Source organism: Homo sapiens, chromosome 5 (genome assembly GCF_000001405.40).
Source record: "Homo sapiens chromosome 5, GRCh38.p14 Primary Assembly".
NCBI classification, from domain to species: Eukaryota; Metazoa; Chordata; class Mammalia; order Primates; family Hominidae; genus Homo; species Homo sapiens.
This window is the reverse complement of record NC_000005.10, coordinates 168906768-168920748: the sequence shown is the minus strand read 5'-3', so window position 1 is coordinate 168920748 and position 13981 is coordinate 168906768. Positions and strand designations below refer to the sequence as shown.

The following is a 13981-nucleotide window of genomic DNA, read 5'->3' as shown; positions in this document are numbered from 1 at the left end:
GACAGACTGACTTGTACAAAAGAGAACTTAAAAGTCAAAAGAGAAGTTCACCCACGCCAAGAGAAGTAAGCCTGAACCAGAAGCAGAGAGAAGCAGCAGTTCTGGAACCAGGGCAGAAGCTGCCTGAATGCGAACACACTTGCTTCACACCGGCTGGAAAGACGCATTAAAACTGAATAAGGAAGTCGGGGAGCTGTAGCCCAACAGCAGGCATCTGTATTCCTTCCGTGCCGCCGTGATGGTCTCGCTGGTGAATAATTCATTCTGAGATTATCCTCCCTGCCTCTAGTTAAGTTGTTGCCCCTGCTCTCAGCAAAATTAGCCCAGGTGTGTGTGGCTATTGTGATTCCTAACGTGTGAGGCATCCTGGAGAAGGGAGTTAGCCACCCGGTGAAGTCTGTAGATAAGGGGCCTCTGTACATGGGGGCTGCCCGGAAGGGGTTAGAGGCTCCAGCTCGCTAAAAATCTTGACTCCCAAAATAAAAACCAGGTGAATCAGGTAAGTGTGCATAGCTTACCCAGAGACAGGGCTGACTTCCTCATTTTGTAGCTATTTATTGTCCTCTTCTAGAATTCTGCCCAAGTGAGGACCAGATACCCAAAAAGCCTTTATATCCCAAAAAGAAGGTCATTGTTGCAGAGAGCCTGATGTTTCAGCAATGCAAGGTGCTAGAGATCCCTTCTAGAAAAAAATAAACACTCACTTCCACGTAGTAGAAACCCAAAACCTCGCTTGATTTTAACACCTCTAAATAACTTAGTACTATATCTACTGAATATTGACATTAACTCTTCTCAGAGGAAGGTACTAGAATAGAAGAAAGCATATTGAATAATATCAAATTGAGTGTACATCAAAACCTCGCATCAAAGAAGTTCCCTTTTTTATGTGTTCTCACTTTTTAATCAATGAAAAAGTGACTTGAAATGACAAATGTGTAGAATCCAAAACATAATGTTACTATTAGGATCGAAAAAGTAAAGCCTTTTGGAGTTTAATCTGAAAAAGAAAAGACTAAAGTGTAACTTTATCTTTGTTAGACAAGGGACATTTCTTAAAGTTTTTATAATAATTATAAAGTTAATGTTCTTTGTTTTTTTTTTAAAAAAATTACATATTACCTAATTTTACAATACAACAGTTCCCATCCACCCCCATATTCTCCTATACAGAGGTAGCCATTATTAAAAGCTTAAGTCTCTTTCCAGAGAGTTTCTCAGCAGAATCAAATGGAATCAGATTACACCCCATTTTAAAGTTTACTGTTTTGCTTAACAGTATATCATAGTTATGTCTCCATCTCAAAACATAATTATTTTTCTTATAAACTACATGGTGTCCTGGTAGCTAAGTGCACTAGAATTTAGTGTAACATTAATGGGGCAATCATTGATAGAGATTTAAATTGTTTCTAGTACTGCTAATACAATGCTGCAACAAACATCATTTTGTTTGTATATATCCTATGTTTCTTTTTTTTTTTTTTTTGAGATGGAGTCTCGCTGTGTCCCCCAGGCTGGAGTGCAGTGGCGCGATCTCGGCTCACTGCAACCTCCGCCTCCCGGGTTCACGCCATTCTCTTGCCTCAGCCTCTCGAGTAGCTGGGACTACAGGCACCCGCCACCACGCTTGGCTAGTTTTTTGTACTTTTAGTAGACATGGGGTTTCACCGTGTCAGCCAGGATGGTCTCAATCTCCTGACCTCGTGATCCACCCGCCTCAGCCTCCCAAAGTATCCTATGTGTATTTTGCACATTACTACTAGTATATCTATAGGATAAAATCTCCAGAAGTGGAATGTCTGGGGCAAAGGGCATGAACATTTTATGTATAAATAGGTATTGCTAAGTGGTTATATATGGTGAGGATTTTTTGACTTTGAAGAAGGAAGTTGGTATGTCTGCAGAAATTTTTAAGAAGAAGTGAAACACATAAATTAAATCCAGAGTTCTTTGAGCTAGACAAAAAGTAGAATTTTATTATCCACATATAACCTTGAATGTGTCACTGAAGCTGTAATGTCTCCTTTCCTGAAGAACTTTAAGAAGAGCAATCTCTTATCCAAGCCCCAAATGCTGCACTGTCTCATTGATGCTTAGGGAGGCCATAGCCACATGTCCGTTTATGGATCCAAACCACTAAGAGCTGAATTCTTCCACCTGAGCATAATAAATGGCAAGTGCAAGGAAGTTGTCAGAAACACAAATCGGGTTCACAAACCTCTTATAAAATGTCTTCTCAAACCCTCACCTTAGTGCAGCCGTTGACAAACAGGCTGGGGCCCTCAGTGACAACTGACATACCAACTTCCCTTATCAAAGTATTACTAGCCCCAGGGGCCCTTTAAATTTCATTTTATTTTTGTTCTGATGCAAGTCAGAACATCAGGCAGAAATGCATATATATGTAAGATGAATGCAGTGCGCAGTTGAAATTTCTCCTGCTATGAGTCTCTCCACACCTTGAATTTTGGACTCTCAAGTCGTTTTTAAATGCAGCTTCATTTTTCTTCCCTGTCATTACCTGATTTCATCTGAAAATCTCAGCATGTGGTTCTCTTTTCCCTTAATTCATTAGATTTGGCATTGCTGTTTATTATATCAACTTGACATCTGTCTAATATAACATCTCTGAAGCACCAGGATGTTGGGAAAAAAAAAGGGAGAGGGAGAAGAGGATTTAACTCTTCAGGGCTAACTGAAGACTGTTTAAATTTATAGAGGTGACTTTAGCCCTTTGTAGATCTTCCTCTAGATAGAAATATATTTGTAATCAAAATGATAATCCATACTCCCTCTTTCTTCTGCTGAGATGAAGGGAGAGAGACTTGGGGGAAGGCTGAGCTATTTATTCACAGATTGTTTTAAGTCAGAGTTGGTCTGTCCTGGGAGAGAAGATTGTATTAGCTTGATAAAGCTAACCCTTTCAGCCTGGGGAAAAAAGAATCACACAATACTGCTGCGAAGGTTTCCTTGGCTTCTCCAAAGAGGAATTAGATTTTAACGTGCCAAAACCTTCCAGATTGGAGGGTATGCTTCTAGAGATAATATGGACATAAAAGCAATACTGGCTTTGTGTTTTTTGATGGGAAATAGGAAACATTACAACAGACTCCAGGTTTTAGAGAGAAGGCTGACAGGGAACCCCAGAAGCAGGGGGAAGGGCTGTGGCCATCTTTCTTTAATACAGAGTCTTGTAAAAAATTGTTATTACTATCTGCATCAAGATGTGTCTTGTTTGGAGTACTGGTTGGAATTCCTCAGCATGGAATATCAATAAAAAACAAGGGATTTGACTGAGATTTATGTCAGGGGACCAGTTCTTTCCATGCCTGTAGTGCCACACACAGATTCAGAGGTAGGCAAGAACACAAGCTGGGGCTGAGACACAATGCCCAGGACCACAGCAGAGCAGGAAGGGTTCAGAGCCGTTAAAATCCAACTCGTAAGTCTCAAGGTATAGTAAGACTAGGACTTGGCTAGGAATTGCTGTTGATTCTGGTCTGGGAACCAAAGCTCACCTCCACTTGATCTTAGGTAGGGTATTGATTTCTGATTCTTTTCAAGTCTCTCAGATTCTAAACCTGATGATTATTATGCAATGATGTTGGGTCGCTGTCTATTCCTAGTTACTCATCATCCCACTAGAGGGATAGAAAAACTCCTATTTAGCAATCCCTTCATTTATTTCCGTCTCCTTTGTACCTCTGAAGCTGAACATATTAGTCATGTTGTATGACAAGGAATTCCCAGCTGTTCAGAAGGAGAGAGGGAGAAATGACAGGGAGAGACGCCGCTATCAATAAAACAAAGCACCGTGGGTGAGGTGTGCAGCATTTTGGTGTTGTCAGCAATCTAGCCAGCCCCGAGTCAATCTACCTGTATAAGGCTTCCCCAGTGGAGCTGGAAGAAAAGTTGCCTGGAGAAAGAAGGAGAAAAAAAGAAGAAGAATCTCCTTAAGACTGAGAAATACATTATTTTTTAAATTGGCAATCCTTTTTGATGAGTTAAATGGAAGCAAGTTGTGATCTAAATCAATGGAATTGATAGTGTTTTTATCTTGAAAGGTTAACTGTATTTTTGCCACTCTCCTAACTCCCAAGCAACTTGGCTTTTAAGAAAAAAGAAATAATCCTCTGGGCAAGGAGCCTGGGATACACTTAATTTAGGGCTGATGTTTATGACTGGTCATTGACCTTGAAATTCCATTAGTGCTAATGAAGGACAGTGCTGGATGCATCCGGGCTGAGTCCAGTAAGTGACGTGCTTGGCGCCTGCAGGGCCCCGCCCCTTTGTCTCTGCACTTGGCTGGGACCTGTCTTCTCTGGGTCCTGATGCCTCAGCAGCAGCTCTGTCTTGCAGAGCGAAGCACCTCCCACAGCTGCAGGTTCTCCCAGGCCTTCCCTCCAGAGGAGAGGAGAAAGCTCTGTTGGATTAAGAGTGTGGTGCTTGCTCTGTGTGTGTCTCCCTTCCTACAGCAATGACATTCAGAGGCAGAATATGCAGCTGGCATTCTAACATTTTCCATCTAAAAAGAGCCTTAGAGATCACTCAAATGTGGGCTCCACATATGCCCATCACTTAGATTTAACAATTGTAAATATTTTGCTATTTGTGTGGTGGTGGTGGTGGTGATTTTGCCATTTTAAATTACAGACATTGTTATACTTTATTCTTAAATATTTCAGTATGCCCCACCAAAAAGTAAAAATATGTCTATGTAACAAACCTGCACGTTGTGCACATGTACCCTAGAACTTAAAGTATCATAAGAAAAAGAAAACCATAACACTATTATCATACCTAACAAAATGAATATTAATTCCTGAGTGTCATCCCATATACAGTCCATATTACAAGTCCCTCAGTTGTCCTAAAAATGTTTTCCAACAATTGGTTTGTTTAAACTACAATCTATACACAGTTCACATATGACATTTACTTGTTAGGCCTCTTTTTGTCCAAAACGATGCGGTTCCATACAGCAGCCTCTGGACACATGTAGCTGATGAGCAGATAAAATATGGCTAGTCCAAATTAAGGTATGCTGTAAGTATAAAATGCAAAGTGGATTTCCAAAACAGTATTCAAAAAAAAAAGAATGCATAATATCTCATTAACAATTTTAAATAGATTATATGTTGAAATTATATTTTGGATATGTTCGCATAATAAAACATTAAATATATTTAAAGTTATAGCTTATATATAAGCTGTTTTATAACAACTATTAATGTATTGGGATAGAAAAGCAACTTTACAATAGAGGGATTGGTAAATCTTGGCCTGACAACAGCGAACCAATTCGTACGAGGAACCTCTCGATTGGTTCACTGTTGTCATGCCGAGATTGATCAATTGCTCTATTGTAAAGTCGCTTGTCTACCCTCACTAGCAGCAATCACCCGTCACTGATAATTTGGCATCCTAAGAATCAAACTTTAACTTCAAGGTTTTAGCATTCATTGATGACTGTTGCCTGAATCAGTTATTTAATTAGAGGTTGTAAAATGATTTTTCCACACTTCGTTTAAATATATTAGTCAGAATTCATATGAAAAGCAAAGTTCAGAAACCCAGACTATGTGGTTACCGTGAAGTACAGTTACTATGGGAAAGACCGGATAAAAGCTGAATTCTCCCCCTTTTAACTATCAAGTTTCAGAATAAAGAATTGGTAAAAGCTACCTCTTTTGACAGATTACGTATTGCCTGCTTTCACATTTAGAGTATTATTATGAACTCATGGATTTTTATATACTAAATATAAATAGAATTTTTAAAATGTTTGAATTAGTTTCTAGCATTTAAAAAAATCAAGAAAAAGAAATCTGGCTAGTGACAGTAAGCCTACATTTTTACCCCCCAATGTCCTCTACAGTGGAGTTTGGGCTCCATCCTCAGATGGGGCATGTGTTCTTTTATGAACGACCCTCCCCACCCAGACACAGGATTAGGTTGTCTGCCATGTTCCTGTGAGTATGTGAGTTTGTAGCCCCAAGTCCAATCACCTATGTCATAAATTAGGAAATTACAGTACAGAAAAGAGAAGCACAGTACAGAAAAGAGAAGTACGCTACGGAAAAGAGTACAGAAGTATAGTACAGAAAAGAGAAGGGACTGGCTGATGGTGGAATAGCAAAACGAGTGGCAGAGTTGGGAATAGAATCCAAATGTCCTACTTCCCAGGAGGACCAGTGGTCTCATCCTCAGTTACCAAGAGATGTTCCCAGAAAAGTCCAGGTAACGGCAGCAGCAGCTAGTGGAAAGTGCCCATTTAGCATATGCTCTGCATTTTCTGTGTGTAGAAGAAAGCTTATTGCTATTGCCAATGTGGCTCTCTCTGACCATGATTTAATCTTCCCCAAACCCTGGGCAGATTCAGAGGCTGCCCACAACATTAGCTCTAGTTCCGGGCCTTCCTCTGGGACTATGATCTACAGAGTCAATGTGAACTACTCCAAATAAATAAGATTAGTGCAACCTAATTAATTCGGAGACCCCCTTGGGCAATATATTTATCAAAAATTTAAGTGCACATAGCCTTTTTGACCAAGCAGTCCCACTGCTAGGAACTTTTCTAAAACTATATTCACAAAATATTCCAAGACATGTGTACCTTGAAGTTCACTGTTCTCATAGAAAACCGGAAGCAACCTTCAACTGGGTACCAGTTAATAACTTATGGCACATCTATATGAAGAAAGAGTATGTGGCCATTTAAAAGAGTTAGGTAGAGTTACATGTGCTGATACTGTAAGATACACAGTTAGGTGAGAAAAGGAAAATGTAGAACAGTGTGTATATTTTTTAATTGTGCTTATTTTAAATAATACGTATATATACCAGTATATGCATAAACATTTTTAAGAAAGATATATAAGAAAATATTAACCTCTTTAGAGGAAGAGACCAGAGGTCAGAGTGGGGGAGAAAGATATGGGTTTTACTTTTCATTTTACGTCTATTTTTTGTTTGTTTGTTTTTGTTTGTTTGTTTTTTTTTTTGAGACGGAGTTTTACTCTTGTTGCCCAGGCTGGAGTACAATGGTGCCATCTGGGCTCACTGCAACCTCTGCCTCCCAGGTTCAAGCGATCTCCTGCCTCAGCCTCCCGAGTAGATGGGATTACAGGCGCCTGCCACTGTAGAGACAGGGTTTTACCACGTTGGCCAGGCTGGTCTCGAACTCCTGACCTTACGTGATCCACCTGCCTCGGCCTCCCAAAGTGCTGGTACTACAGGCATGAGCCACTATGCCCAGCCAGATTATTTTTTAAATCATGGGCATATATTCTTTAATATTAAATTTATCAACAAGTTTGAGTGTTTGAATAAATCAGCTGGGTTACGGAAAAGCTAATGGTACCTTTCTTTTTAATCTGGTGTTGTGGTCACTTAATATGAGGGCGTTAGTAATGCTTCTCAAACCAATGGCAGCCAGTTGCCTTACTAGGCGCATCTGTTGAACTCCGTATGTATTGATTGGTGCAAAACTAATTGCAGTTTTTGCCATTAGAAATAATGGCAAACCCTAACCCTGACCCTAACCCTTTGCCATTGGAAGTAATGGCAAAAACTGCAATTAGTTTTGCACCAACCTAGTAAGTTCTGAGCACTTAGCCAGGTGCGATGGGCAGTACAGGCAAGTGGTAAGGAGCTTGCAGTCAAGTTTTGGAGAAAAGGCCAAAAATAACTCATCAGTAGCAGGGGTCTGGAATTCAAGGCTGATGGGGACTTCTAGACTTTCAGTGCCTCAGAATACAAAAGAAAATCTATCAGGAAACCAGCCAGACAGGGTGGAATACCTAAGCCGAATGAGCTGTAACAAGTGAATCCAGGCTGGATGGCACAAAGGGGAGGGAGAGCAGTGTGGGAGAAGGATGAACAGGACCAGAGCAGTGGGAGAGAGAAGGACAAAGTAAGGGAGCCGTGCAGAAAGTTTGAGGATGGTGATGTGGGGAGGAGATGGGTTTATAGCCCAGCCTGGCCACTTGTGGAGGGACCATGGGCAAACCCTAGTTTCTTCATAAAATGCATAAAATACATCATAGAGACATAGTAAAGATTCAAGTGTATAATGCATGATCAGTGTTCAGTATGTTTGTAATATACACCCAAACTTTGCTGGCTCTATGTAAGTATGTAGGGGAGGAAACAGTAAGAATAGAGGCAGCTAATGGCAGAGCCCTGAGTCACATAGTCTAGTTCCAATTCTTGACTCTACTGCTTTCTGGCTCTGTGACATGAAGCTTCCCTGACCTCCTGGATCCTTGGTTTTCTTTTCTGGTAAGTTGGGAGAAGGTGAAAAAACTGGTGCATGCTATATACATTTGACCCTTGACCGAAATAGGGGTTAGGGACACCAACCTCCCTCCTGCACAGTAGAAAATCCACATATAACTTTTGACTATCCCAAAACTTAACTATTAAGGCATCCAGTTAACAGTAGGCTCTTACCAATAACATAAACAGTCAATTAACACATATTTTGTTTGTTGTATGTATAATACACTGTATAAAATATGTTAAAATACTGTATTTTTACAATAAAGTAAGCTAGGGGAAAAATGTTATTAAGAAAATCATAAGAAAAAATAAATTTACCGTTGGTTAAATGGAAGTGGGTCATCATAAAAACCTCCGTCCTCATCTTCATGTTGAGTAGGCTGAGCAGGAGGAAGAAGAGGAGGTTAGATTTGCTGTCTTGGGGTGGCAGTGGTGGAAGAGAATCCACATATGAGTGGACCAGTGCAGTTCAAGCTCGTGGTGTTCAGAGGTCAAGTATACTTCATACATGGCAGTGGATTGTTGTGTAAGTGAAAGTCAATGCAAAAAATAAACGGGAGTTCAGCACAGGCAACATTTTACTCATGCAGTGTAGGTTTCATGCAGTTTTAAAACATTATTCTATCAAATCCTTTCTAAGACTCTCTAAGATAATTGAGGCAAGAGAGAGCTACAACACATGAGGGAAAGGTTTCTCTAAAACCACACATGATGAGACTCAGACTTGAACCTGAATTTGCTATGCTCTAAACTGCTGGCTTTCCCGCTATGATCCCGACATCTTATATGCCATCTAATCGTAAACCTTCCTTATTCCAAAATCTTGGACTGGAATTATTTAGAAGGGTAACTGAAGGATGGCTAAATGATGGCATTTCATGCTGCCAGAATGCATGTATGTATTTTCATTATGCTGACATGACTTGTATGTGGCGAGCCGGTTTCAAGAAATAACTTCCTAAGCTATGCATTTAATTTAGATACTGTGAAACCCTGTTTTTAATCAGAGATTCTTCATTAAAAGCTTATTCACTGGGAGCCAATGAAAAGTCATAGAAAGTACCTTTAAATCCACAATGCAGTTGTTCTCTTGTGTGTGGTAGTCACACCAGCATTTAGAGACCATGCAGAAAGGTCGGGTGGGGTGGGGTGAACGCTAATAGGATAGCTACCGGCAGCTCCAGGACCCCATAAATCATTCAAAATGTGTGCACGGGAGTTTAACATACATATATCTATTATATGCACAATAATTATTCCTTCACAAGTGTTTTTAAATAATCATTTTGTATTTAATTAACGTGCAGTATTTGTCTTGGGATGTTGAGGGTAAGGGGCAGAGAGAGGAGAGTTACAGGCAGAGAGAGGAGGCTGGCATTCGTCAAACCCATCAAGAGGCTGCTTGATTTTAAACGTAGCTTTTCTGCTTTTGGTTTCGTACCTGGTACAGAACAGCGGGCTGCTCTCCCCATTTCTAAGGTCTAATATTTTCATGAGTGTTTTCTTTACAAAAAGGCATGAGGGCTGTGATTTCCATGCCAATCTCATGGGATGGGGGCTCTAGTTGCCCTTCTGAAGGACACAAAGCATAAACTGTGTTTTAAAAGAGGTTCTCTTTGCAGAAGGCATTCTGATCAAGCATACAGATATGTTTGTTATTACCATCTCACTTTGCAATTGTGATGTTTTTTTCTTCTTTTTTCTTTTTTTTTTTTTTGAGACAGAGTCTCACTCTGTCGCCCAGGCTGGAGTGCAGTGGTGCCATCTCGGCTCACTGCAAGCTCCGCCTCCCAGGTTCACGCCATTCTCCTGCCTCAGCCTCTGGAGTAGCTGGGACTACAGGCGCCTGCCACCACACGCGGCTAATTTTTTTTGTAATTTTTAGTAGAGACAGGGTTTCACCGTGTTCGCCAGGATGGTCTCCATCTCCTGACCTTGTGATCCACCCGCCTCGGCCTCCCAAAGTGCTGAGATTACAGGCGTGAGCCACCACGCCCGGCGGCAATTGTGATGGTTTAATCCATCATTGATATATGGCCAAATATGTGTGTGTGTGCGAGTGTGTAAATATACAGATGCATGTAAGTGATTATGTAAATTTGTATGTATGTGTTTATGGATGAAAATATTTCTTTAAATGTCTGGAGTGAGCTAATATAGTAGAAATTGTTCATTTAGACACTTGAGTCTTAAAGATGATTGCTCTATGACAACAGAAAGAGAAAGTTACATTGAGCCTTCAGTTTCCATATCGTGTAAACACACAGACTTCACTACATAGCTAGCCTGAATCAGCCAGAGAAGTAAATACTCTAAAGTGACCCATCATCAAGGGGAGAAGACAATTCTTTTAAGAAGCTTGTTTTCAGCCCAGATGGTTTGGTCCTGCCCACAATCATTTGATGATGTGCTGCTTTCAGCTTTGGAATCACATACCTCTCTGTGCATGTTTCACAAGAAGAGAAATGCAGATTTGTAACAAATTTAGTGAATGGGTTTAAAGCAGGTTGTGCAAAAAGGAAGGTGGGCTTCTTTTGGGAGACAGAAAGGTTTCTCTAAAATGTGATGTGGCTCAGACTTGAACCTGAAAAGTAGAGCCAAGTCTAAAGAGATAAGTCCGGAGATCTTGGCTCAAAGGACGGTGAACTTCAATCCCTTAAAACGTGCTCAAACCCAGACCAGAAACCCAGGTTTGCTGCCAGGAGGAGCTGAGTTTGGAGACTAGCGGAGAGGAAAGCAGGAGGCATCGTTTTGTTCTTTGTGTCTCTTTCTTCTTATAATGCCTAAATAAATCTTCAGGCTCTATTCTCAAAACTCCAGGCCAGGGATTACCACTCAAATGTCTTCAAGTAAAGTCATTGAGTGAAGTGGGCAGGCATAATAAAATTATTTCTCTACGATAAGAAAAATAACAACGCAAGCTCAATGATAAATGGCAGTGGACACAGGGGCCTTAGTGTTAGGAGGCAACAGGGACTCCTGTGGGCGATGCTAAACTGGAAATAAGAATTGCCTGTACCTTCTACAGAGGGCGGCTGCCACTAAGCTTTGCGCCATGGGGGAGAGGACCTAAATTGATGGATATCTGGAGTTTGCAAAGGAAACCAAAAATCCAGATAGATGTTTGTGTGAATTTCCTGATTATAAAATGTTGACTCTGATTTTTTTTTAAAGAATTTGCAAGCCAAATTAAACACCAGTTTCCAACACATGCTGTAAGCAAAGGAGGAATCCATAAAAAGTAGGACTATGCCCAAAATATCAGTACTATGTGTGAGAGCAGCTCGGGGGTAGCCCTTGCTGTCCTAGCTGCTGTTTATTCACATACGCATGCAGGCATGATAGATGTGTGACCGGAGGACGCAGGCCTGTGGGAATGACATGGGTCTGCATAGACAAGCCTTTGAGTTGTTCTATTTGGAGAAAATGCAAGAAGCCTGGCGGGTACCTGGTGGTTTTCATGTCACCTTTCACAGCTGTAAGGGAGGTCACACATCCAAGTAGGGGATAGGTAGGCATTATGAGCATTTTTCAGGACCCTCTTATGATGGACTTGTAAGGTGTGCACCTCTCTGTGAGAAACATCTGCCATTCCTCCTCAGGTCTTACCATGGGAAGCATTTTTAGTTGAAATAGTAGTTGAACACCTCCATCGTTTGTAATAGATGGTATAGGGTAATAAAGGTTGCAGTGAACCTTATTGTCTAGCCTACTTTTCGTATGATTTCAGGATAAAGGAGTTCTGTAATGAACCCTGCTTGCTGGTCCTCAGAGTTGCTTTCAAGTGCAGGTCTTTGCCTTGTTCCCTTGCAGTTTGTTACCCTGATTATAGGTGTTCCAAAGTCCCTTGTCTTAAAAGCAGGGAGAAGTCCCTGGAGCCACCTCAGGAACAATCAATCCAGAGCACTGCTTCCCTTCTCAGTTTAGCAGTGCAGTCCACGAAAGGTCTGGGAATTGGAGACACTATTAATTCAGGCTCTTCAGTGTCTCCCGTCCTCTCCACCGCTCATCCGTCTTGACATCACAATTCATTCCCACAGGGTGACATCATCTCTGCTGGAAACCTGCCCTCACTCTTCCGCAGACCAAACCGTGGACTGCATGGCATTCAGACAGATTAGGAGAGGGCAAGGGTATGAGAAGGTCAGGACGACCCAGGTGACTCGTCTACCACTGCTAAGCATCTGCCATAGACACTGTCCCTTCCAAAATGTTTGCAAGGAATATAATGCAACCATTTAAAAAGACGAGTATTCAGAATGCAACAGCATGGAAAATGCTTACTGCAATATGGAATTATATTTTAATTTATTGGAAAATAGGCATTACATTCAAATGATTCAAAATTCAAAAGATATAAAAGGGTATAAAATGAAAGTCTCCTTGCCTCTCCTGTGTACAGCCACCCAGTTTGTGATGTTTGGTGAAAAAAGAATATGAAATGAAACCCCCCACCTCTCTCTCTCTCTCTCTCTCTCTCTCTATATATATATATATATATATATATATATATATATACACGTATAATATATATATAAAATAGATATAGATAGATCTATATATATATGATATATATCATATATCTATATGTATCTATAGATATAGATATATGTATACTTATATGTGTATGTGTGTAATGAAACCTCGTTCTCTATACACACATACATGTGTATGTATAAACAGATAATTTATCCATAGAAGAAAGACTGAAAGAAATAAGCAAAATATTTACAGTGGTTATTTTGAACAGAAAAACTACAGGTAATTGCTTCTACGCTTCCTGTGTTTTCCAAAATGTGCTATGCTATATGTATTTCTTTCAGGAAATAATAAATGCATTTCTTTATCATACATGTAATACACAGTCATTGAAGTCACTGAAGCAAGCTTGGACATGACTAGTCATCAAAAAGAGGAAAATGGAAGTCATTCGTTTTATCACAAACCCAGAACTCACGACTGATGGCACTTAACATGGTCACACACTACCTTCCTGGCCTTTTCTTTGCAGATACATGATTATACTTTACTACATAAGAAAGAAAGGCCCTCTAACTGGGGAGGATCTAGGTACATTTGCAACCAATCAACCAGCAACGTGGAAGAGGAAAAAGGATAGAAAGGAATTAGGCTCTTATGGTCAGCCTGTCAGTGTGAGGCCTTATGGCTGAGACTACCCCTCCAAGCTGACCCAAAGCTGTGGCTCTGCACCGACACAGGGCTAGGTAGGGCAGAAAGGCTGCTGTCAGCCTTGTGGAGCACAGAGACTTAAAAGACTGGTGAGAAAGTATAAAAAAATCCCAGCTGGGCGCGGTGGTTCATGCCTGTAATCCCTACATTTTGGGAGGCCAAGGCGAGTGGATTGCCTGAGCTCAGGAATTCAAGACCAGCCTGGGCAATGCAGTGAAACCCTGTCTCCACTAAAATTCAAAACATTAGCCGGGCTTGGTGGCGTGCACCTGTAGTCCCAGCTACTCGGGAGGCTGAGGCAGGAGAATCGCTTGAACCTGGGAGGTGGAGGTTGCAGTGACCCGAGATCACACCACTGCACTCCAGCCTGGGCAGCAGAGTGAGACTCCATCTCAAATAAATAAATTAATTAAATAAATAAATAAACAAAAAATCAATCCCTGCCTTGCTCCCAAGGACAAAGGGCACTTCAAAAATACAATCATTCCCTGAATTTCAACTTTCA

At 40.8% G+C, this 13981-nt stretch overlaps 1 protein-coding gene and 1 long non-coding RNA gene across 4 annotated transcripts in view; one reads left to right on the top strand and one right to left on the bottom strand.

Annotated features, from left to right (window-relative positions):
- SLIT3 (slit guidance ligand 3) overlaps nt 1-13981 on the top strand; it is a 639400-nt gene that overhangs the window by 380391 nt on the left and 245028 nt on the right. The window lies entirely within an intron of this gene.
- On the bottom strand, nt 2089-5007 carry LOC107986472 (uncharacterized). Its single transcript, XR_001742973.2, has 3 exons — nt 4943-5007; nt 3880-3919; nt 2089-2160 (listed from the first exon to the last, which is right to left on the bottom strand). It is a non-coding gene; the product is annotated as an uncharacterized LOC107986472 (long non-coding RNA).